This window comes from Homo sapiens, chromosome 7, assembly GCF_000001405.40.
Source record: "Homo sapiens chromosome 7, GRCh38.p14 Primary Assembly".
Taxonomy (NCBI): domain Eukaryota; kingdom Metazoa; phylum Chordata; class Mammalia; order Primates; family Hominidae; genus Homo; species Homo sapiens.
The window spans coordinates 152,805,112-152,830,816 of NC_000007.14; the positions used below are offsets into that span (position 1 = coordinate 152,805,112).

At 43.3% G+C, this 25,705-nt stretch overlaps 1 protein-coding gene across 15 annotated transcripts in view; it reads left to right on the forward strand.

The window, feature by feature from the left end:
* The window catches only part of ACTR3B (actin related protein 3B), a 95,627-nt gene that overhangs the window by 45,360 nt on the left and 24,562 nt on the right, over positions 1 to 25,705 (forward strand). For 8 of the 15 annotated variants that reach the window (NM_001350942.2, NM_020445.6, NM_001350944.2 and 5 more), the window contains 5 exons: positions 9,439 to 9,534; positions 11,370 to 11,477; positions 15,188 to 15,331; positions 18,231 to 18,404; positions 19,919 to 20,011. In NM_001350942.2, coding sequence (NP_001337871.1) covers positions 9,439 to 9,534; positions 11,370 to 11,477; positions 15,188 to 15,331; positions 18,231 to 18,404; positions 19,919 to 20,011 — 615 coding nt within the window. Of the gene's footprint in view, positions 1 to 6,585; positions 6,623 to 9,438; positions 9,535 to 11,369; positions 11,478 to 15,187; positions 15,332 to 18,230; positions 18,405 to 19,918; positions 20,012 to 25,705 lie in introns of all 15 variants that reach the window. The other 7 variants (NR_146951.2, NR_146950.2, NR_146949.2 and 4 more) reach the window with 4 other exon arrangements.

A 25,705-nucleotide genomic window follows, 5' to 3' on the forward strand; every position in this document is an offset into this window, starting at 1 on the left:
GGTAAGTTACATATAGTTAGCAGAGATATACAGGAGGTAGAATTGATGGGTCTTAGTGATGAGAATTGGTAGCAGTTAAGAGAGAAATCTAGGATGACTCAGATTTTGAGATGGGGCAGTGCATGGATGATAATGTGATTGGTTAAGATGGGAAACATGAGAAGAAACTCACTTGAGGGAGGGAGGGAGGAGGAAGAAGGAGAGTTTGGTTTTGTACATGCTGAGGTCGAAGCGTCTGACTGGGCTACACAGGTAAAGAAGCCGAGGAGCAGCCAGCTCCAAGCAGCAGGTGTTGATGTAGGAGTCAGTAGCATTCACGTGTTGATAGTTGATGGAAAATTAACTCTGATTACTAAAAATAAAACGTACCATCCATGGTATTTTAGAGATGAACCTACGAATACATGATTATCTTGAAATCTCTAGGTAAAGTTAGTGCTCTGTGAAATCATTTTCCTCATGAACCTGGTGAAATAAAAAAATGCTAGCCATAGCAGTGCCCTACATCTGAATCACAATTGCGTTATGTCCTAGTTTCCTTCCTGAATTCTTGAGAATGGTTAGACCTGCCTTGTGCACTTCACTAACCAGTGTAGACCTAGCCAGTGTAGACCTAGCCAGTGTAGAGGTCAGCTTTCTTGGATTTGCTAAGTCACCTCCTGCACGTACTTTCCAGCTTCCAGTATGTTGTCGCCTCCTCTCCTATCTCGCTTCCTTGAGGATTTGTATTTTTAAAAATGTTTCTTTACTGTAGTTTTAGAGGGGCATGGAGGTGGAGTAATATTAGATACATGTGTTCAATTTTCTGTCTTTATCCAGAAATATGGGTTGGTTTTATGATAGTCATTATTCATTTTTAAATCAATACCAGGTGATAATTTTACCATTGTTATGAATAAAAATGTTTATGTAGCTTGCATTCATTGATGCTTTGATCATCTGCTTCTATATTTAAAACCAGATTATTCTCTTTCTCTTCTTCTCACTGCTGCACTTGACTAGTCTTAAAGAGAGAAAAAAACCCAGAAAAACTGGACGTCTCCAATTTAGATCTTGTTATAAATAATAGTTTGAGAATAATACATTTGTCTCCTAAAGGAATAATTATAACATCAATAGTGGTGGATAGAGATGAAATGGGAGGTTGAGGAAGATGGAGGGTTTGTGATTGTGGTCCTCAGAACCCATAAGGATGTGGCCTGAATAACGTCGATTTTGATTCAAGAACCAGGAGAACATCATTATATTGTAAATGTTCCCTTAAATGGAAATACATAGATTTTAATTCTTCAAAGACGGTGAAGTGTTTTTGGCAGCAAGTAATAGAAGTATAAAAGCAGTAGTTTAAAAAAGTTAAGGCTTTATTTTTCTTAAATAAATTTGCAGTAGAGTCCAGTGCTGATATGGCAGCTCTCTGGTGTGGCTAACAATCTCTCTACTCTAGTGTCTTGAATATATGGCTTTCATTCTAAGGATGCCTCATGATCACCAGTTGATTACTGCACCTCCAGCTATCACCTCTGTGTTCCAGGAAGGAGGAGGGTGTTAAGGGCAGGAGGCAAGTCTACTACTTGAGTCTACCTCAGCTTTGTAAGGAGCTTTCCTGGCAACCATACTCCAGCTTTTGTGTCTTACTGGCCTGAACTTACTTACTTAGTCATCCCTGTCCACAAGGAAGTCTGGGAAATGCTTTTTTCTGGGCCTGTTGCCATTTCCCATCATAGATCAGTGGTCTGTCAGTCACAAACTTGCAGTGTTGGTAAGAGCAACTCACAATGCCTGTCATAGTGGTGTCACTCAAAGGCATGAAGACAGTAGCAAGGGAGAGATTCAGCTGCTTTCACAACTCTGGCTGGATTTTACCTATGTGGAGAGTGTCACCCATGTTAGGGAGCCTCTGGCCAGGAGGAAGCTGTGGCAAGATGTGCTGCATCTCCTGCTTGGCATTGCCATCTTGCTGCCGTAAGTCTGTCTGTGGATAAAATACATTAGGAAATTGGGAAGTTAGATGAGGAGTTTGTGTGATCTTGCCCCACAGCCATAACTCGGAGTTTAACACTTCACATAGAGATCATTTCCCCCTTCACTACAGTAGAATTGTAAGTATAGAAAATTTGGAAGATATCTATGGGACTTTTTATAGTCTTATCACATTAACATAGGTACTGTTGACATTTAGTATATTTTCATTTAATCTTTTTACCCATTTTTAAAATGATTTTACACCCAATATTATACTCCTCATTTCCTTACAGTTTTCATAACCCTTATTTTAACAGCTATATGATAATCTGTCTAGTAGGTATTTCCTGCTTAGCAGTTCCACTATTTTTAGTCATTTTCTTGGTTTTATAAGAAATAATGTAATCTTTGTGCATACAGTTTTTCCTGTATTTCGAGTCTTTTTTACTTAAAAAGAACTAGCAGTGTTTGATTATGGAGTTCAGCAGTGTTAGTAATTTATTAGTCTCTGCACAGTGTGCCATTTCAGACTGCTGTCAGCACCGCGCAAGAGGCTTGCTTTCTTTGTACTCTTGTCAGCATTAATATTATTTTTGATCATTTAATGGATTAAAATTTGCCATATGCTTTACATTTGCATTTTTGATAACTTTGACCTTATACATTTTTCCACATTAGTTAGTTGTATTTCCTCTTTTGCGAGCTGTCTGTTCATGCCCTGTGCTCTTTTACGTATCGTTGTTTTATTGCTTTTCTTGTTGCTGTGATTTCTATGAACTTTGTTTTTACTTAACTTTTTTTTATTCTAAAATACACATAACAGAATTTATCATTTGAACCATTTTTGAATGTGCAGCTTGGTGGCATTAGGCACATTCACAAACCATTGCCACCGTCTGTCTCCAGAAGCCTTTTCATCTTCCCAAACTAAAACTCTGTCCCCGTTGAACACGAATTCTCTTTACTCCTTTACCTGCCCCTGGAATGCCCATTTTACTTTCTGTCTCTATACATTTGATGACTCTAGGGCCCTCATATAAATGGAATCATATAGTATTTGTCCTTTTGTGACCAGCTTACTTCACTTAGCGTCTTCAAGCTTCATCCATGTTGAAGCATGTGCCAGGATTCCTTTCTTTTTAAGGCTGAATAATATTCCATTGTACATAGATACCACATTCTGCTTATTCTCTGGAAGCTTTCATATAATTAAGATAGAAAGCTTCTTTTGTTGTTATATTTGCAGCAGGTTAGTTTTACTCAGTTAATTTTTTGCCTTTCTCTTTTGGTTATTTCATTTGGACATCCATAACTTTAAATTTGTATGTTGGTAAAACCCATTTTCCTTTGATGTTTGTACTTAATCTTCATCCATCTGGGATTTATTTGTATCATCATTTCACACTGAACTTAGACCCAGAGAGAATGCAGGGAGCCAGGGTTAATCTGATTCTTGTTGGTGATGTCTTCCTACAGGTCTGTTTTTGCTTCAGGTTAAATAGGCAGCTCTTTGCTGGGAGGCAAGAAACCTTCCCCAGCTCTACTCAGAAATCTTCATACCTTCTTAACCTTTCTCTCCTGATACTTCCCCACCTCTACTCAGTTTAAATATTTTGTTTATTTCAGTTATAATTATGCTTGGGTTCCTATTCAAGATGAGAAACATAGGTTTCTTTAGTTAATATGTTATTTCTTCTGGGATGAGATACAATATTGGCTATTATGGCTGTTTATTGAGTACTTCTATGTGCCCAGCCCCATTCTAAGTGTTTACAAGTATTAACTCATTTTTTAATGCCACCAACAACCCTCTGAGATAGGTGATGTTATTAGGCCCACTTTTCAGATCGACAGGAGGTAGCTTAAGAGAGAGATTGTACACACTACTATTGGAATCTGCATCTCTTACTCATGTGCTTTAAATGAAGGAAATCTAAAGTAGTAATCGCTAACATTTATACTTCTAACTGTGTTCTGGGCACTTCACTGCTATTAGCAGATTTAATCTCCTCAGCCCGAGTAGGCGCATTGAAATAAATACCATGTTGTGGAGTGCTTTTTAGGTTCCCTATTTGCAGCCTGTGTTTGAGTATGACTTCATTATTCTCCCTTCCACATTTTGAGATGGCTTCCTCTCTCCCATCCAGGAATTGATGGATTCTAATTACAGTGACTAAAACTTACTTGGGGCAGTGTGTTTGAACTTTTCACCAGCTGCTGTGCCAGAGTTTAAAGTGCCAGGCTAGTTGGTAGGTAGATTTGCTTGCTTGTTGTTTGAAGAAGTGATGCACACACAGTGCAGAACTGAAAAGGTGCTGGAAGATTTCTAGGGAGCGTGCCCCCCTCGCCTCTTTCCTGCCTAGAGGAAGCCGCCCTTACCCGTTCTTAGCCAGCTGATTGTTCATGTTCCAGGGGTGATTGTGTGTAGGCATATGGGTTAGCACACACTTGTTTTTGTTTTTTCTTTTTTTTTTTTGTTTTTTTTTGAGACGGAGTCTTGCTCTGTAGCCCAGGCTGGAGTGCAGTGGCACGATCTCAGCTCACCGCAACCTCCGCCTCCCGGGTTCAAGCAATTCCCCTGCCTCAAGCCTCCTGAGTAGCTAGGACTACAGGTATGTGCCACCACGCCTGGCTAATTTTTGTATATTTAGTAGAGACGGGGTTTCACTGTGTTGGTCAGGCTGGTCTCAAACTCCTGACCTCATGATCCGCCCACCTCAGCCTCCTAAAGTGTTGGGATTATAGGTGTGAGCCACTGCGCCCAGCTAGCACACAGTTTTATTTTACACAAATGGTAACACAATATGCATACTGTTGCACACCTTGGATTTTTGAATTAAACTTTTTTTTTTGGTTTAAATTGTAAAAAAAACCCTAATACTATTTGTACCCTATTAGCCATTTTTAACTGTACAATTTTGTAATGTTAACTATATTCACACTGTTGTGTAAGAGATTCTAGAACTTTTCCATCTTGCAAAACTGAAACTCCGTACTCATTGAACGAGTCCCCATTATTTCCCCTCTCCCTCCACCTTGTTTTTTGTTTTTGAGATGGAGTTAACTCTTGTTGCCCAGGCTGGAGTACAGTGGCACCACCTCAGCTCACTGTAACCTCTGCCTCCCAGGTTTAAGCAATTCTGCTGCCTCAGCCACCCGACTGGCTGGGATTACAGGCGTGCACCACCACGCCCAGCTAATTTTTGTATTTTTAGCAGAGATGGGGTTTCCCCATGTTGGCCAGGCTGGTCTTGAACTCCTGACCTCAGGTGATCCACCTGCCCCTGCCTCCCAAAGTGCTGGGATTACAGGTGTGAGCCACAGCACCCAGCCTGTTTTTTTTTTTTTTTTTTTTGTTGTTGTTTTTTGAGAGGGGGTCTCTATGTTGTCCAAGCTGGAGTGCAGTGACTATTCACAGGTGCAGTCATACAGCCACTACAGCCTCGACCTCCTGGGCTGGAGTGATCCTCCTGCCTCAGCCTCCTGAGTAGCTGGGACTACAGGCACACACCCGGCTACCACACCTTGTTTTTTAAAAATAGTTTTTGGCCTGGCATGGTGGCTCACGCCTTGTAATCCCAGCCTTTGGGAGGCCGAAGTGGTGGATCACTTGAGGTCAGGAGTTCGAGACCAGCCTGGCCAACATCGTGAAACCCTGTCTCTACTAAAAATACAAAACTTAACTGAGCGTGATGGCATGTGCCTGTAATCCCAGCTACTCTGGAGGCAGAGGCAGGAGAATTGCTTGAATTCTGGGAGGTGGAGTCTCCCAGAGATCCGAGATTGGGCTACTGCACTTGAGCCTGGTTGACAGAGTGAGACGCTGTCTCAAAAAAAAAAAAAAAAAAGTTTTCATTACAAATTGTTGAAGCAGAAGGATATTTAAAAATGTATACGGAATGGAGACACCTCTTTTTCACTTAACAATTCATCATAGAGATTGTTTCTTCATAGAGTTCATTTTTTTAAATTGTTCCAAAGTGTTTAGTGATGGGTATTTAGGTTGTTTCTGATCTTCTGATACAGACAATGTTGACTTTTTACCTTTCCAAGCTACTTTGTTTTAGTTGGGTCTCTTAACCTCAGAATGTAATTTGATTTTGTTTTTGTTTTTAACTGAGAGACTTTTAGTAGTTGAATTTCCCATTTGTATTTGCTGATAATTTTAGTAATAGCAACTCACTTCCATTGAACACATCTGTGTATCCAGTACTGCTCTAAGCACATTATTTAGACTGCCTTTAATCTTTCCAACTCTCTGAGTGGGGTACTAATTACCTGCACTTTACCCATGAGGAGACTCAGGGAGAGAGGAAATAGCTTACCAAGCCTAGTAAAGTGGAAGGCTGGGATTTGATCCCAGTCAGTTTGACTTCACATCTCTTAATCGGACTGGTATGGCATGCTACTGTGTGACAGATACGTTTGGTCTTAATTTAACTATTTTTTAAAAATGTTATGCTTCATGTTTTTAATGTATTTTATTTATGTATTAGTATTTTTTAACTGAAGACTTGTTTTTCTCTTTGCTTTTTATTGGGTGTGTGTTCTTGGTAATAATTAAAAGGACTCATGTTTGCATATTTTAGTATAATTTGATATATTTACCCTGTATTTGTTTAGGGGTAACTATCTCCTTCCTGCTGTAATCAGTGACCAGGTTGGTATTGCCACATGTTCTTGCCTCCCCTTCCTTCTCTCCACCACCTGCTTTTGATTAATGATGTCACTAAACTTATTCCAGTGTTAACATTTATAACTTTATGTTTACTAATGCCTCTGATACTTTATCAGTTTTAAATAATATCTTTTGATTTCACTGTAAGAGGCAAGTGTCTTTACACTCTCTCCTTCTTTCCTTGTGCACTGCTCAACTTGATAACATTTTTTTCCATTAAAATTTATAACATTTACATTCTGTTCTTAATTCCCAGAAAATAAAAGTCTTTTTTTTTTTTTTTTTTTTTTTTTTTTTGAGACGGAGTCTTACTCCATCGCCCAGGCTGGAATGCAGTGGTGCGATCTCAGCTCACTGCAACCTCCGCCTCCCACGTTCAAGCAATTCTCCTGCCTCAGCCACCCAAGTAGCTGGGACTACAGGTGCACACCACCATGCCTGGCTAATTTTTGTATTTTTAGTAGAGATGGGGTTTCACCATGTTGGTCAGGCTGGTCTCAAACTCCTGACCTCAGGTGATCCGCCCGCCTCGGCCTCCCAAAGTGCTGGGATTACAGGCATGAGCCACCGTGCCCGGCCAAAGAAAAGTCTTTATTCCTACATCTTAAATGGCTTCATTGCTCACTGTAAGTCTTTTGCTGGACTTTCTGCATTCTTCTTGAGTGGATAAAGTTTATCCTCTAATAGTTCATGAACCCATACATTTTGGCTCATGGGAATGAAATTTTCCAAGTTCTTGTATGTTTAAGGATATATATTTTTTCTCCTTAGTATTTTATTTTATTGTTTTTTTTTAAATTGACACATAATGTGCATATTTATGGGGTACAGAGTGAAGTTTTGATACATATAATGTGTGGTTATCAGATCAGGGTAATTAGCATATCCATCATCTCAAATATTAGATATTTTGATTTTGTAACATACTTGATTGACACTGTGGCCAGATATAGAATTCTTGGGTCGTACCTTCTTCCCTTGAAGACTCTAAGTGTGGCCCTATGTGTCCTAGTGTTAAATGTAGCCGTGTTGAAGGCTGAGGCTGATTGTACTTTCCCTGTCGTAGGGGTGTATTAGTCTACTCGGCTGCTGTAATTTTGTTTATACCACAGGTTGGGTGGCGTAAACAGCAGACAGTTCGTTGTTTTCTCACAGTTCTGGAGGTTAGAAGTCCAAGGTCGAGGTGCCGTCGGGGTTGGCTCCTGGCGCAGCCCTCTTCCTGGCTTGTATGTGGTCACCTTTCCTGCTGGGTCCTCACATGCCTTTCCCCTGTGTGAGCGTAGAGTGGGGAGAGAATAGGAGAGAGAGACTGATTTCTGGTGTCTCTTCCTTTTCTTAGAAGACCTTCCTCCAGTCCTGTCAAATTAGGGCCCCACCCCTATGACCTCAGGTAACCGTGATGACCTCTTGAAAGGCCCTATTTCCAATTATAGTACACTGGGAGTTAGGGCTTTAATGTATGAACTGGAGGTAGGGGGAGCACAGTTCATTCATAATAAAGGGTAATGTATACGTTTTGCCCAAAGGTCCAGAGACTTTTTATTTTTTCAGTTTTAAATACGAGATATAGACCCATATTTGTTGACAAGGAAAAATGTTCATAGTATATTGTTGAATGAGAAAAATCAAGTTTATTTATTCTTTTTCTGTTTCTGTTGTCTGTCATTTTGTCCTGTTTGATGACGGTTATTGTTTTAAAATAGATACTTGGATTCTTGGAAATGTCTTTGGAAATTCTTGGCAATTTTTATCTGCTTTGTTTCAATATTTTTCCAGATATTTTTTTTTTCGGTCTTTTGGAGACAGGATCTTGCTCTGTCACCCAGGTTGGAGTGCAGTGGCACAATCTTGGTTCATGTAGCCTTCACCTCCGAGGCTCAAGTGGTCCTACCTCAGCCCCCGAGTAGCTGGGATCACAGGCATGTGCCACCACACTTGGCTGACTTTTAAATTTTTTCATAGAGGTGGGGTCTCCCAATATTGCCCAGGCTGGTCTCAAACTCCTGGACTCAAGTGATCCTCCCTCCTCAGCCTCCTAAAGTGCTAGGATGATGGGCGTGAGCTACCACGCCTGCCCCTGGATATGTGTTTTTGTCTGCCATTTGTTTTTCCTCTTTTCTCTGTCCCTTTTCTTTCTCTTTGAGTGTTTTTATATCACTGTTGGCTGGCTTCTTTGTGCCCCTTACTCGTCTCTGAATGAGCAGAGTTCTTCTGGACTAATGGCGTGTGGGTAGGCTGGGGAGGTCCTGGGCAGCGTCTGGGGGAAGCTGTGATCTGCCCTGGACTCTTCCCTTGCCGCTGGACTGTAAGGGTGCTTGGCCTAACCCTGCCTGCTCTGCCACCCTGTGGCTCCTCACACCGGCCTGTCCTGAGCAAGGGCTTGCTGCTGCTCCTCTGGCTCTCCTTTGCTGAGACCTGAAGTCACCGGTTCGCCTTTGATGTCCTCACTCGTCTTGGTTGTGTTTTCATAGCCCTTGGCAACTTGCTTCTGGGATATTCAGTTTCGGGGTGTTTAGGTGTTACGTTATTGAAGATAAGAGTTTCTTTTTCTGTAACTTGTTCTAATTTGGGTGGGTAATAAGAACAGAGGCCTTCAGAGAAGTATTTACTCTGACGTCTTAAAGCTTTTAAGGCCCATGGCCAGATTTCTTTAATACACTTTGGGCATCCTCTGTCTGTAAAATTAGGGAATTGTATAATGTCCTCGCTAACATACTTTCAGGTTAACCTGTTTATGGTTCTGATGTATTTACATGAAATTCGGGTAAACACTAAATATAGTGAATGTTTTCTTACAGACAGAACCTCCACTCAATACACCAGAAAACAGAGAGTATCTTGCAGAAATTATGTTTGAATCATTTAACGTACCAGGACTCTACATTGCAGTTCAGGTAAAACCAGTTACGTTTGTGATTCCTAAAGCACCTGAGCTGTCTAGTAGCGGAAGAAATGGTATTTCCCAAGGTTCTCCGCTGGAAGACTGCGCTGTGTGCCCTTCCTTTTTCCACTCCCTCCCCCGTCCCCATGCCATTCAGGACTATAGGGAACGTGTCCCATGACTTTTCTTTTTATTTTGATGCCATTTTTTGGTATAGACGTCGTCTGGCTCTTTTTACGTGCATTAAAGTCTAATGCATTTTTATCTGGGTGACAAGATATAGGTGTAGATGTGCTTCTTCTTTTGGCATCTTTGACTTTGATCAGAAAAACAAAATAATTACCTTTAGAGGTTTCCCCTTTCCGATTTTGGGCTCTTATGAGTCCCAGTGTACTTGATTCTGAGGGACCCTGTGTTTTCATGAGCTCGCAGAACTTGTTCTGAAGCTGCGGTTCTTGGTGTGATATTTTTTGGTTGCATTTGGTCATTATTTGCCTGCCACCTTATGTAAGGGAATTGACTGAAATTTTGGGGAATAAATGAGATGGGTGTTGCCCAAATGTTTTCTGCATAATACTAGTCACTTCTAAGGAGGAGGAGGAGGAGGAGGAAAAGTTCCATAGAAAGATGAATTTGGGCGATGCTGCATCCTGCAGCTTTCTCGGGCTGATTCACAGCGCCTATCAGCACAGTCCAGGCTCTGAGGATTCCTGTGTCGAAATCTATGTATTCTAGCACTTCCAAATTTATTTAACTACAGATCTTCCCCCGGCTAAGTTACTTATATTCCATGGCCTAGGGAAACACTTCAGGAGACATAAGACTGGTGGTTCTCGAAGTGGTCTGTGCAGCAAGTTTACCTGGAGAATGTTTTTTAGAAGCACAGATTTTGGGCTTCGTCTTCGACCAGGGTTTTCCACCCTCAGTGCTTTGGGCTGGGTAGTCCTTTGTTGTGGGCGCCGCCGTGTGCATTGCAGGGAGCGTAGCAGCATCCCTGGCCTCTGCCCACTGGAAGACAGCAGCCCCACCTCAAGCCTCCCCGCCCCGACGAAGAAAATGGTACCAGATATTGTCAGATGTTCCCTTTGGGGCAACATTTTCTTTGGTTGAAAAATTACCCTGTACCTTCCAGATTAGAATTTCTGGGTGTGAGGCCTAGTAATCTGTATTTTAAACAACTCCACAAGTGACCTCATTGCCAATCTGTGGCCCCACGCCGGAAACCAATGAATTAGAAATTAAAATCTTATGATTCTATAATGAAATATCTTTTTCACTGGCTTTTCTTTGTAAAACTTTAGTTTTTTTTTTTTCTTTCCTTTTTTTATTTTTGAGACAAGGTCTCACTGTGTTGTCCAGGCTGGAGTGCAGTGGTGCAATTATGGCTCACTCTAGCTGCGACCTTCTGGGATGAAGGGATCCTCCCACCTCAGTCTCCCGAGTAGCTGGGAGTACACGTGCGTGTCACCACGCCTGGCTAATTTTTGTATTATTTGTAGAGATGGGGTTTCACCATGTTGCCCAGGCTGGTCTCGAACTCTTGGGTTCAAGTGATCTGCCTACCTTAGCCTCCCAAAGTTTTGGGATTACAGGCATGAGTCACCACAGTCAGCCACGTTTCTTTATTGAAAACTTGACTCCTATAGTTGTAAGTACTCAACATTTTCGTGTTAGTTGTCCAAGTTTGAATTGGAATTTGAGGGACAGGGGTTAGAGGATGGATAGGAAAAGGAAAGAGTTACTCAGACATATTAAGTAAGAGAGTTTGTTGATTGGACCTGGAAGGAGCAGGCAGGTGGCTTTAGAAAGAGTTCCTATGTGCGAGCGGTTTTCATGTCTTTTCTCCAGGCAGTGCTGGCCTTGGCGGCATCTTGGACATCTCGACAAGTGGGTGAACGTACGTTAACGGGGATAGTCATTGACAGCGGAGATGGAGTCACCCATGTTATCCCAGTGGTAAGCAGAATAGTTAATATATAAGTCTCTGTAGGCTTAACACCTGATTCGAGGTAAGGATGGAAATAAAAAAAAAAAAAACCTCTTCTGTAATGGAAATACAATTTAGATGATAGTTGTACTTAGAAAGATAATAAAAGTTTTTTATTTTTTGCCACCTTATATAAAGGAATTCCCCAAGTATGTGGGAAAGAATGAAAAGGATGGCCAATTATTGTGGCTTTGGCAATTTTCAATTCATGGTGGCATATTTTTACAGTCAGAATGTCAGAGAATGTCCAGGATGTCTCTGGATCTTCAGAGCCTCTGCTTGATCCCCGTGGGTGTAACATCAACAAGAACATTTTCTGGGGTTATTCCGACATGTTGGGAGATAGACACCGTTTTGGATGTTGAATTTGTAGGTGCAGTGCGTGGCCATTTGAAGGAGCACATCTGTGTTCTCTGAAAAGATGTGAATGGCAACCAGCTCAAGCTTGGAAAAATTGCTTTTTGTTTTAAAAATTTATTTAAGGGCTGGGCGCGGTGGCTCACGCCTGTAATCCCAGCACTTTGGGAGGCCAAGGCGGGCGGATCACCTGAGGTCGGGAATTTGAGACCTGCCTGACCAACATGGAGAAACCCTGTCTCTACTACAAATGCAAAATTAGCCAGGTGTGGTGGCGCATGCCTGTCCCAGCTACCTGGGAGGCTGAGGCAGGAGAATCGCTTGAACCCGGGAGACGGAGGTTGCAGTGAGCCGAGATCGCACCATTGCACCCCAGCTGGGCAACAAGAGCGAAACTCCGTCTCAAAAAAAAAAAAAATTTAAAAGCCAAGAAGGGGAGATTGTACATTTTGGCTTGCAGAAGGCTCTGCAATGCCGCTTTTTGGTTTCAGAGAAGTGATTCCTAATTTGGGTTTCAAGAGATCTCTGAATTTTTCTTTTGGTCCAATGGACTATTTAAAGGAATTATCTTAAATTCATTTTTTTTGGAAAATGTATCGGAAGTGTCTGAAGAGGGTATTCAGAGGGAAGTCATACTCATCCTGGTCTTTCTCCTTTGAGGTCTCCTCCTCAGGAACCACCATTGCTAGTTACTTCTGTTATGTTACAGATAATGTTTCTGCATATGTATATGGGGGGGTGTGTATGTGTATATATTTACATACACACAGCTCTTTTAAAATGCAAATTAGGATTTTCAAAAATCATTTAATTTAATTGAAAAAATGGTCACCATTTCATTTTGAGAAGGTGATGGGGTGACGTACTAATACCAATGCCTTTAATTCCTTGAAGGTTAGGTATCACTGCAGAGGAAAGGCTTAATGGTCGATGGGCCTACAGTCAGGGAGAAAAAAGCCAGCCTCCCGCCCCCATACCTTGTACTCCTGGCTACGTGTCCTTCCTGTGGGGAGGAGAGGTGGCTGCCCTGCCCTGTGAAGTGTGCTCTAGACTTGAGCCCCCTTCAAGCCAGTCTCAGCACTCCTTTCTGTGGATCTTGAGAAGAGTTAGTGCCCTGGGTGCAGAGCACTCACGGAGAACTCAGGCTTCCGTTTCCTCAGAGAGCTGTGCTGCTGAGATCCAAGATGAGGCCCCCGTAGGCCCCTGGCCTGCACCCCCTTTGGTTCTTTGCCTATTTCTTATGTCTGATTTAGGAAAAGGAAAGAAAATACATTTCACAGTGTGTCCAGGCCCACTAAGAAAGTTGTTTGAAAAGATTTTTAATCGTATCTTAGTTCAGTTTTTCCTCCAGCTGTAAAAATTACATTAGTCATTGAAAATTTGGATAAAATAGACAAATTTGAAGAAATAAAATTACCTTTAAAGCCACCCAAAGACCTGTATTAATACTTTTAGCTGTATAGTCTTTAAGCTCTTTTTCTTTTTTTTTTGGAGATGGAGTTTCACTCTTGTTGTCCAGGCTGGAGTGCAATGGCACGATCTCGGCACACTGCAACCTCTGCCTCCCAGGTTCAAGCGATTCTCCTGCCTCGGCCTCCTGAGTAGCTGGGATTACAGGCATGCGCCACCATGCCTGACTAATTTGTATTTTTAGTAGAGATGGGGTTTCTCCATATTGGTCAGGCTGGTCTCAAACTGCCGACCTCAGGTGATCCGCCTGTCTTGGCCTCCCAAGGTGCTGGGATTACAGGCGTGAGCCACTATGCCCGGCCTAAGCTCTTTTTCTAAGACACGTGTGCTCACGCATGCGTGCACACACACACACTTTAAACACAATTGGAATGTCTCATGTCTGGTTTGGGATTCTACATATAATACAATCCTAAGGTTATATTTTGCGTATTAATTTAACCCTAGTTTTTTTCTCTTGTGGTTAAATATTCTGTGAAAATACATTTAAGAAGTACATAATTTATTTTTCTGTTGTTGGACATGTATCTTGTTTTAATATTTTTACCACTGTCATGAGCTGATATTTATTTAACAGTATTTTAGAAAATGTTACGTGTAATGCATAGAATATAATAATTGTGAATAGTTTATGTATTAGAAAGCTAATATTATTTTTATGGGTTTAAGTTGAGTTTTAGTAATTTATACTTTTATCTCCATCTTAAAATACCTTACAAATACTTGGACTCTGCAGAAAGGCTACTTTTTTTGCTTCTAGAAGTTACGTATATCAGAAAGAAACCATAGGAGGAATTCAGTAAGTTGTTCTTGCAACTTTACTGGTGACTAGGTGCAGCTATTAGAATGAATACATCTGTAAAATGAAGTCAGCGTTTCACTTCTGTTCCCTTCTGTCTCACTTGGGGACTGTGGCACAGAAGCTGTGATGTGCTGTAACGTGAAACCTGAGTGTCTTTACCGGATGATCCAGCGGTGGGCGTTGTCCACTCTGACGGTCAGCATCCTGCTCATCCCCTGGAGAACAAGCTGGATGTGTGTCCAAGCCTGTGGCTCCTGTGGCAGGTCTGTGCCCACAGGAAGGCTGATGAGGGAGCTTTGGGCCCATCATTGCTGTGGGCATGTGGACACTTGACACTGGCCCTGCCATTGATCGGCCCAGGGCGTGGTCACCCTCCTTTCCTGGCCCCTCACAGACATGCCTTCACTGGCTTAGGGAGGCAGTGGAATGAGAGGCTCCCAGCCCCCAAAACCAGTGCTGTGTGCTCGACACACGCAGTTTCATCTGAACTGTATCATTGGCCCCAGCAGGGTATTGTTTGCCTCATACGATGGACAAACGCGCTGAGGCTGAAGCATGTGAAACTTGCAAATGTGGAGCTGGGATTTGAGTCCAGGTTGTTAGAATCTAAGCCCTGTGTATTAACCAAATTGCTGACTTTTAAACGTAAGTAGATTTATAGTTGGCTTAACAATTTATAAATAAAACTTTTTCCTTTTTATCAGGGAAAGAACCTATTGGGTTTAGTGTTCTTACAGACAGCATTTCTTTTTGGAAATGAACTATCTTATGTGGTTTTTCTTTTCATATTCCTAATGAAATCATTTTGGTTGCTTTTAGAGAGTGTCAGGTTATTGGAATAATCTGGAATTTTGAATATTAATGGAATTGCATATGCAGTCATTTTGAAAGACCTTCTGTACTGAGCTTGCAGAGGGTGGGGATTATGTAAATGCTTGTCAGTGCCATGAGGGGCAGACAGGGAGGCTGAGGCAGGAAACCTTGTGAGTCCAGGCTGCTCTCCACCACGAAATCACTAACACAGCTGTTCTGCCTCCTCTTCTTCCCTAGGCAGAAGGTTATGTAATTGGAAGCTGCATCAAACACATCCCGATTGCAGGTAGAGATATTACGTATTTCATTCAACAGCTGCTAAGGGAGAGGGAGGTGGGAATCCCTCCTGAGCAGTCACTGGAGACCGCAAAAGCCATTAAGGTAAAAACAGATGGGAAACCGGCCGGTTTGGGGGTGAGAGAGATGGTGTTCTGGACACTTCCCCTTGGTGCCATCATCCCTGCTCCTCCTTTCCTTCCTCTCCCCTTCCCATGAATGTGGGGCTTGATTTGTTTTACCCCTTAAGTGGGCTGAAGATGTAAAGCTTAACCTCTTCCAAACTAGATGCTTTGAGGTTTCAGCTGTCACTGAGAACAGCTTGGTAGCTGGTGCAGCGTACCAGCGTGCAGAGGCAGCATTGTTCAGCTGGAGCCTCACTGCTGGAGCCTCATCTACCAGAGGGCTCCTTCCATACTGCCTCCATGCTTCGCTGTAGAATCAGGAGGCGACCACAGCAGCAGAACACTGCCACCCTAGGATCCAGAGCTATTGCACAAAATTCACACACAGGTGTGGCTGTGACGTGTGGCCATAAGCATCTTCTTCCTTTATGGCACAGTTTCTGAGTGTAGCAGAGCTTGATGGGGGTGAGCCCAACACCCACACTTCTCCTCACTGCCTTCCTCCCTTCTCAGCACCTCGTAACTGAGGCTGGCTGAAGGAAAGGAAGCACCAGAGATGATTCCCGAGGTGTTTTTAGGTCAGGAGGCACTGGCATGAGGCAGGCTCTGCAGTTGGGTATGACCTGCCCTGCTTTACCTGGGACCAGAGATTCCTGGGAAGGGGGCTCTCAGCGCTGAAATGGTGATGTGGGGAAGACGTGGTCCCTTCCATCTCAGGGGAAGGTTTCCTGAGGTATCATTAGATATTCTTTTTTAGACTAAAATATTTCCTAAGGGGTCACCTTCTCCTTTCTTTGCCTTTCCTCCATGGAAGAATATTTGACTATTTGATCCAAGCTCCCTTGCCACTCCAAATCTGTTAGAAATGTAAGTCAGAATTGAGCCCCTTCATAGTGGCTCACATCTATAATCCTAGGGCTTTGGGAGGCTGAGGCTGGAGCATTGCTTGAGGCCAGGGTTCGAAACTAGCCCAGGTGATATAGCGAGATCTCGTCTCTATTTCAAAAAAGAAAAAAAAAAAAAGAATTGAGCCTTTTGTTATTGACGCCCAGGGTCCACTCCAGTGAGTCTGAGTCCTCCCTATTTCCGCCAGGATTGCTGAGCAACACTGCCACGGAGGGGCTTTCCTGACCCTCATGCTGGGCCTTCAACTCTCCACACGGGCTGTTGGGGTTCCAATTTGGACCCTGAAATCTGGGCTGATGTGCTCGATGTGACTGTGTGTCTCCCCCCTGTGAAGGCTGGGAGTAAAAGAGACTGTTCATAGCCTCCGAGTCAGCTGCCCTGGCCCTGCTGTGTGGGGTAGCCCTGTTAGTTCTCACCTCACTTCTCTCTTTGAAGGAACAGATCCTGAAAGGCGTGGTTTAGAGCTCCCCCCGCTTCCCCTTACTGCCATGGCCTTCTGTGGTTGTGAACAGGCCTGAGGGAGTGTGTAACGTGAGCACACCACCCTTGCAGCATGAATCCTGAACCTTAAGGTTAAGCCTGTTACTCTGCACCCAACTCAATGGAAACATTTCCTAGCAAGCATTTGAGTTAAGTAAGCTGAGATGCTGTAGGATGTTGACCAGGCCTGTGAGGAGAACTGAATGCCTTTGTCTCCAGTCTTGGTAGATTTGAGGTTGTAATCAGCTGACCCTGTTTCTCTGTGTCATCAAAGAACACAGGGTTGTGTAGCACTTCTTGCCTGTCAGTCTTCTTAAAATTCCGCTAGAGTATATCCAAGATACCCAGAAGATGGCATTAGAATATGTTTCAGGGATGCTAAGAAACTTTAAACTTAATACCACGAGAGCGTCTTTGGAGGTCCTTGAGAGAGCCATTCCTTCCACGGTGTGCTCAGCGCCAGCTGGGCGGCCCACCTCGTGCTTCCCGTAGGCAGCAAGTATCTGGGGGTCACCTGCTGCTATGCGGAGGCCAGCTCTAAGGACACATATCAACACAAAGGTGTCCAAGAACATTCATCTTACCAGATACCCAGGAAACACTTCGCATCCCTCAGGCTGCCTGTCGGTGCAGGGCGGGAATCGTTAGCGACTTCTCTCGCAGCAGCAGCAGCATCCTGGCGGCTTCAGTCCTCCCACCTGACTCTGCTTTTCCTTTCTTCCCCGGGACCTATCACTTTATAACCTACCATGTCATTTACTTATTATGGTTGCTTATTGTTTTCTGACTCCCAGCTAGAGTGTAATCTTGGCAGGGATCTGTGTGTTTCGCTACCTTGTGTATCCCAAGTGCCTAGACAATAAATCTGTGTTGATTGAGGGACTTAGAATACCCAGTCAACAAGGTACACTGTCTCTAGGCAAAGAGATGGTGTCAGTGGAGCTGATGACAGTGCTGTGGCCAGCTCCACACCAGATTAACAACCAGCAGGTTGACAGTGGCCACCCGGCTTGTGGCGTGCTGGGACCCAAATGGGACCCAAAGAAGCCGCTGCAGTCAGGTTTAGGGTGTAGACAGTGCCGCACTCGGTAGTTGAGCTTGCAGCACGGGTCCGCTGGTCCAGTGTGGACCACAGTGAGGTGCCAGAGCAGGCCATAGGAGGCATCTGAGAGGAACAAGGCAAGACGAGGTGCTTTCTAGACACCTGTAGACATCATTTCAGATATGATAGCGATAGAATTGGATAGACCAAGGCTGAGATTAATAGCTGAGTTGCAGAGAAAGCAGACTTACCTGTCCGAAGTCCAAGTGTAACCATGTCTAACATGAAAGACGATGGAATGTGAGGCTTGATGCATATCCACACTAGAGTTACGGTGGGGGCGGTTCTGATCCCAGGGTGTGTTTGCTCATGGGCTTCCTGGTTATTTGTCTGAGGGCAGAGACACTGGGCAGTTGTTAATGCCTGGCAACATCTTTGTGTGTGTATGCAGGAGAAATACTGTTACATTTGCCCCGATATAGTCAAGGAATTTGCCAAGTATGATGTGGATCCCCGGAAGTGGATCAAACAGTACACGGGTATCAATGCGATCAACCAGAAGAAGTTTGTTATAGACGTTGGTTACGAAAGATTCCTGGGACCTGAAATATTCTTTCACCCGGAGGTGAGATGTTTCCTTTTTTGTGTGCTCAAGTGTGGGATGGAGCGATACTGCCACCCAGAGTGTAGAAAGAGCAGTTCCCAGCGAAGGGCCTGTGAGCAGGGTGGCCGTCATTCGGTCTCTCTGCATCCCCTGTGCAGTTTGTCTGCTTGACAGATTGTTCAGTTTGCCTCTCCGTAGAGCTGGTTATCTGTTTTAATAGTTAAGGATGGGTTATACCACAAATAGGAAGACTTTTAGGAGCAATAGATGACAATAGAATTAAAAGTAATCTCCAAGGGTTGTGGGTGGTCACATGCCAGCATTACAAGTAGCTACTCTCAAGGCCTATATGGAGGTTGCCTGTGCATAAGAGTGGGATAATATGTAACCTTTCTATCTTTGGTGATTGCCCTTCCTAACTTCTAATTTTAACCCTGGACAGTTGGTCCTGCTCTATTCCCTGCTGCAAGTTAGGTAAAGCTTCTGTCTAAGGCCAGCATTTCTATTATTTAGATAATCTTAAGAATTAGAAATGTCATCATTTTAACTAGTAGTCATAAGGAATTATTAGTGCTTTTGCAGAAAGCAGTAATTAAGAGGCACATTTTAAGATTTACATATAATGCATTTTATTTATATTTTGGTATATATTCCTGGCTAATTCAGTTTATATTCAGTAGGTGGGTTACAAACTGCTGTTTGTTTTTAGATGTGTATATGACTATTTTGTACAGAGAAACAGCATAGAATGTGTTCCTCGCTAGTAATCTGAATAATAAAATAATAATGATAATCTAGTGAATGCTCACTTTTAATATGTTGATTTGAAATGGACATAGAACAGTCAAATGTCCAGTGAACAGCTGGTGAGCAACTGAATATCCTCCTCCTTCCTCTGAGAGTGCACATTCAAGCTTACTTTGATTTTTTAAAATATTTCAAATGAAATGTAATTGAGTTGAATTTGTTATACTTTAGCTTATTTAACTTATGGAATTGAATCTATGGCTGTTTATTCAATAACATGATTATCATGTGGATTGTTTCATGTTAAACAAACCCTTCTCATTAAACAAAACACTTCCCTGCATCTTCTAGACCAGGTTTAATTAATCTTTCATTGAACCTATTTCTTTTTCCTTATATACTAATTTTCTCATAATACGAATATTGTCAAATGATATGTCAAAGTCATGTTTCTCACTGCGTGTCACATAGATCGTGCACATACTCTCCACTGCTCTTAGTAGACTGAATCACTGTGTATTCATGGGGTGGGGGTGGTCTGTCTGTGATGTTGTTGGTATTTTTTCTTCACTAAATCCATACATTTTACCTCATGAGGAGAAATGTGTCATCACCGCTCCACGCACTTGTAGTCACATGGGATTCATTTGACATATCCTTCATTCCAATGTGAATTCTTTTAAGTTATAATAAATTGTATATTTGTTAAAGTTACTTTAAAGAAGTGTGCATGTTGTTCTATTTGAGAGAAATGTGTAATGTTTCTTTTATATTGATACACAATTCAGTTTGCCAACCCAGACTTTATGGAGTCCATCTCAGATGTTGTTGATGAAGTAATACAGAACTGCCCCATCGATGTGCGGCGCCCGCTGTATAAGGTATGAGCTGCCTGGGTAAGGTACTTTGATTTCATTCCACAATTAAAGGCCCATAATTCTTAGAAGACGGTATTACTGTCTATTACTAGTAAATATCCCTGTTTCACCTTCTGTTTCATAGGATTTGTTAAAGACAATATAATTGTAAGAGAAAATGGAAATATGACTCAGTTAACTAGAATTTTTATTTTATTTTATTTTATTTTGGAGACGGACTCTTGCTCTGTCACCCGGGCTGGAGTGCAGTGGTGCGATCTCAGCTCACTATAACCTCCACCTCCTGGGTTCAAGCAATTCTCCTGCCTCAGCCTCCTGAGTAGCTGGGACTACAGGTGCACGCCACCACACCCAGCGAATTTTTTTTTTTGTATTTCAGTAGAGACGGTGTTTCACCATGTTGCCCAGGCTGGTCTCGAACTCCTGAGCTCAGGCAATCCACCCGCCTTGGCCTCCCAAAGTGCTGGGATTACAGACATGAGCCACCATGCCCGGCCAACTGGAAGTATTTCAGTATTGTAAATATATTTTATTATTATCTGACAAGATATATTTTAAGGTGGACAGTTTTAGCCACAAATATCGATGGAAAGTAAGAGCGGTGCCCTCCCCCATGCTTTCCGTGAATTCCATTGGTTTCGTTTCATGCATATTTGGGTTTGGTGCCAATGTGGTGTCATCACATAGAAGTTAGAGCCCAAAATGGGACAGTCAGATAGAATATGCTCATGTATTATTATGATTTTTTTCAAAATTCTTAGATTTCAGGGAATTTTGAAACCTGGAATGAGGAAAATCTAGTCTATATGATTATTGAGTAAAAAGAAATCCTACTGACAGCCCGAGATGGTGAGCAGGAGGTGATGGGCAATTAGCCTTCCTGCACCTTTAATCAGTCTTTGCTTGAGTGAGTCGCGCCGTCAGCTCAGTGGCATGACTCACTCGCCTTACTCAGACTCAGGTCGCTGAATTGTACAGAGAAGAGAATCAGGCTCAACTGACAGCACTCAGCATTGCGTCACCTGTGCCGTGGAATACTATGTAGCTTTTTAAAAGAATGAGGTAAATCAATATAAATTCAGATGAAAAGATAGCTATAGTATATATTAAGTGAAAAAGGAACTTGTAAAATTTACATATATTTCATTTTATATAAAATATATAGTTTGCGTATTTTTTGAATTATGTATGCTAAACTCTTAAAGTAAATAAAATATCTTTGGGGTGGAATGATGGATAACTTTTACTTTCTCCATTTTGTGTTTTAAAGTTGTTTGAAATTTTACTGTTAAGATTTTTTTATAATTAAAATTTTTTTCTGTTTAGATAACTTTTGAGGGTGTAAACAAATTACAGTTCAGTTTTTGCTGCATATTCTTAAACACTTGTCTAATACAAAGTACAAAGAAAGGGGAACTAGAAAGAGACTGGAGTATGCAAATGAAGAAAGCTAGCGGGTCATGTCCTTCCCACTTCAATCCCACCTGACATTAGCTGTGTCTCCTCATCAGTGAAAGCAGCAGCAGGGAACACTGTTCAATCTTAATCCCATCATAAAGCAGAGGAAACTGCCAGCAGTTACAGATTGCTCCTCACGGGGTGGGAATTTTCTTGTTTGACAGTTTAGCTCCCTGGACTTTATAGAAGTTTTGGAGCAGAGATGGTCTTGGAGACCATGTAGATGGAGCCCCTTATTTAGTAGATAATGACACTGAGCCCCAGAGTTGGGAAAAGGTGGCGAAAGGCGCCTGGGTTATGTGCTAGGTGAGATCATGTGGCTGCCAAGTGGCACGGTTGGCTTTTAAGCCCGTTTCCCGCATCTTTGAAAACTCATGCTTTTCCCACTGTATCACACTGAAAATTATGTAAAATGCGGAGGGAAGAGGATTCTTCTTTTTGTTGCCCGTGCTGGAGTGCAGTGGCGTGATCACAGCTCACTGCAGCCTCGACCTCTCGGGCTCAAGCGATCCTCCTGCTTCAGTCTCCCAAGTAGCTACAGGAACATGCCACCATAGCCGGCAAGATTATTCTTCAAAGAGGGAAACCCTGTCCCTGACCACTTTGTCACTAGGATAATCATTTCTTCTCTGTGGCTTTCAGAAGGGTGTAGCTTGGCCCTGGCTGTCAAGTTTGTGCAGAATAAATCCTGTCTTCCCTCAGCCGTCTTGGTTTTTTTGAACAGGACCTCTCCAGTGTTATGAGTGCCTTGCAAGTGATAGAGAATTCACGTAGGATTGAGAGGTGGAAGGATTGAATGTCCTGGGGCTGGCCATGCTTTCTCGTTTGTCACATAGCTGAACTCTATACCCCGTTGTGGGAAAGGAGAGACACAAAGGAGGTCACCTCCTTTGCCACCTAAGTTAGAGTAGACCAGAATATGTTATGATAAAAATTAATCCAAAATCTCAGTGTTCAGCAGCAAAGGTTTATTTCTTTGCACGTGGTTCACGTCTGGTGTGGTCGGCAGTAGGCTCCACCACCGTGTTGTGGCTGCCCTTCTGGAACACATCGCCTCAGGTCCCCGCTGCCGGGGAGGAGACAGCTGGTGCGCCATTCCACCCCTCCTCCCCGGGCCGTCACGTGGGCCAGCCTCCACCGGGCACTGGAAGCGGGAGGGTGATAGAATGTTTGGTGGGCACCACTGCCTCTCCTGTAGCCACGAAGAAAGGGACTTCTTTCCAAAGTATGGGTCTTGATGACTAAGTTGAAGTTTAATATTGAGGCCTAAGAATGCCCGTTTCTGTGCGTTAGCCTGCCAGGTAACAGCTGCTGTAGTGTTTTTTTTCCCCATGGTGATATGAGACCGGGAGTTGGCCAACTTTTTCTGTAAAGGGCCAGATGGTGAATCATTTTGGCTCTGCAGGCCGTATGGTCTGTGCTGCATTTATTCAGTTCTGCCAGAGCAGCCGAAGACCGTGTTGAACGACTAGGAGTGGCTGGGTTCCTATAAAGTTTTATTTACAAAAGCAGGAGAGAGCCTGTTGTAGACATGTGAGGAGTTACTTATGGAAGCCTCGTTCTAATACTGTCCGGGTTGGCCTGTGATAATTATCTGCGGACCCTCTTCAGGCGGGGCATGTTGAGGCGTGGCCTTTGCTAGTTCCTCAGCAAGTCAGTGCTGCCTTTAGGAAAGACTGTGGAAGAGTCACTGCCGAGCTCTGCTCACAGCCCAGGGTAGAGTCACACACTACTCTAGGGCTCCTGCTGACTTGGTTTCTGGAAGCCGTCAGCCCTCCCAGATGGACTCTCGCTGTGTGGGATGGAGTAGGGTCCCTCCAGAAGCAGCGTCTGAGCAGTGAAGCTGCACTGACGAGGTTCGCTCCTGCTCGGTGCACTCCCTGCTACGCTCCCTTCTGTAACTCCTGCTCCTTAGTGCGGTGGAGAGCATGCCCCGAATCGTCTGTGTTAGCAAGTGCACAGATCAGTAGGTCTGTGGGTTTTTAAAAATAATTCTAAAACACTGTTCTGGTTAGAAGACATGCTGCAAATACTTCTGCAGAGCACGCAGTCACCTTTCTCTGGACGGCCGCTCATTCCTGTGTCTTAGGGGTGTGCCTTTCCTCTTGGTTCACTATGCAGTGCTTCCAACCTGCTGGGCCACTCTTGCCGGGTAAGACGCTCACTCTCCAGGAGTGATGGTGCCGATTCCTGACCTCGGCTACCTGTGTGCTTTCACTGGTTCCACAGCCTCATTTGGTCAGCTGTGCTAGCCACATAGACCAACAGAGTGGGTGCCCTGAAGATGTGCTTTTGGCTTCAGAAGAGGTCGTCTCTCTCCCTCTGCCACACCTGCGCCTTGAGGTGCTCGTCTGGGCCAGTGGGGGTTTTTTCTCCTAGCTTTATTGAAATATAATTTTTAATTTTTATGAGTACTTAATAGGTATATTTTTGAGGTATATTGACAAGTAAAAATTGTGTGTGTGTGTATATATATATATACACACACACACACACATCAAGAGCAGGAAAATTGTGCATATTTAAGGTGCACAGTGTGATGATTTGATACAGGTATGTACATCGTGGAATGCTTACCACAATCAAGCTAATGAAGACATCCATCACCTCACACAGCTACCTTTTTCAGTGTGTACAGTGAGAATATGTAAGATTCCTCTCAGCAGATTTCCACTACACCGTACCCTCTTCCTAACTGTACTCACCATGCTGGAATTAGGCCTTCAGAGCTTGCCCATCTTCTGACTACAAGTTTGTTCCCTTTGACTAACATCTCCCCACTCCGCAGCCCCTGGTAACTACCATTCCACTCTCTGCTTCTGTGAGTTTGACTAAAAATTCAGAATCTTTAAACAAGCAAAACAGTTTTTTTAGATGAAAGTAGCCATCATCTGTCCGATTTTTATTTCCGTCTGACGTGTAGATGAGAAGGGTATTTACACATCTGCTTTATGTGTTCCGCCTCCAGAAATGACAGGGGTGGGGCCTGCGGGGAAGCCTCCGTGTGAGAGCAGGTGAAAATCAGCCTGGGCCCACCGTGGGCTTCATCCAGGAGCTGTAAAATGGACCGGAGTCTGGGTCCCACCCTGGGAGATTCTGATGTAATTGGGCTTGGGCTGGGTGGAGCCTGGACACCTGGATGGTAAAAGCTTCCCAGGTGACTCTAATGTGCTTCTAACTTGAGGACCGCCATCAGCGCCAGCCCACTCTTGGATCAGCCAGCGTTTAGTAACTTGCACGCTTTACTTGAGGGGGAAGCCAGTTTGAATTGCTTTGTAATGTAATGGATGTCTTTCTACTTCTCAGTTCTATTCAGGAGGTACTTGAGTACCTACTAGGTACAAGACACTGTTGTTAAATTAGGGGATTTAAGTATGTACGAGATGATTCGGTTCTTGCCTTCAAGAGCTTATAAAAAAGCTAAAAATACGGAAATAACTCTAATGGGAACCACTACAAGCTAAATGTCATTAAAGTGAATCATGCAAATTATGGTAATTGAGAGAAGGGACAGATTGCATTTAATTAGAGGGGATCAAGAAAGTCTTTGAGAAGCTGCCATCTGAGCTGAGTCTGAGAGCTTGGCCTGCAGAGCTGGGGGTGGGTGGACAGGCCAGGTGGAGGGAAGATAATGAGCGCAGATAGAAGGAGAGTGGGCAGATGCCTGCGGTGCCTGTTTTGACCAGAGCCTACGGTGGTGGGGAAGGTAGTGGGAAACAAACCTAGGAGGGAGGGTGGGGCCAGCAATAAAATATCTTTAGCCTGCTCCAGCAGTCTGGGTCCAGCAGTGGGTTGGGAGTTGTTAAAAACTCTTCATGAAGTTTGTGAAGCAGATGTAAATACATCCTGCTATAGCAAAGGGATTGATTTTTCTGTAACAAATTGCTTGAATTGAATATATATAATTATGTTAATGCATTTTAAACTAGAGAAGCCTGTTGCAGGGTAAATGAGTTATAGATATAAAATAAATAAATACTTACTATTGAGAGACAGAGCCTTGCTCTGTCGCCCACGCTGAAGTGCGGTGGTGTGATCACAGCTCACTGCAGCCTCGACCTCCTGGGCTCAAGCAGTCCTCCCACCTCAGCCCCTCAAGTAGCTGGAACTACAGGTGTGGGCGACCACTTGCAGCTAATTAAAAATTTTTTTTTGTAGAGTTGAGGTCTTGCTCTGTTGCTCAGGCTGGTCTTAAACGCCTGGCCTCAAGTGATCATCCTGCCTCAGCCCCAAAGCACT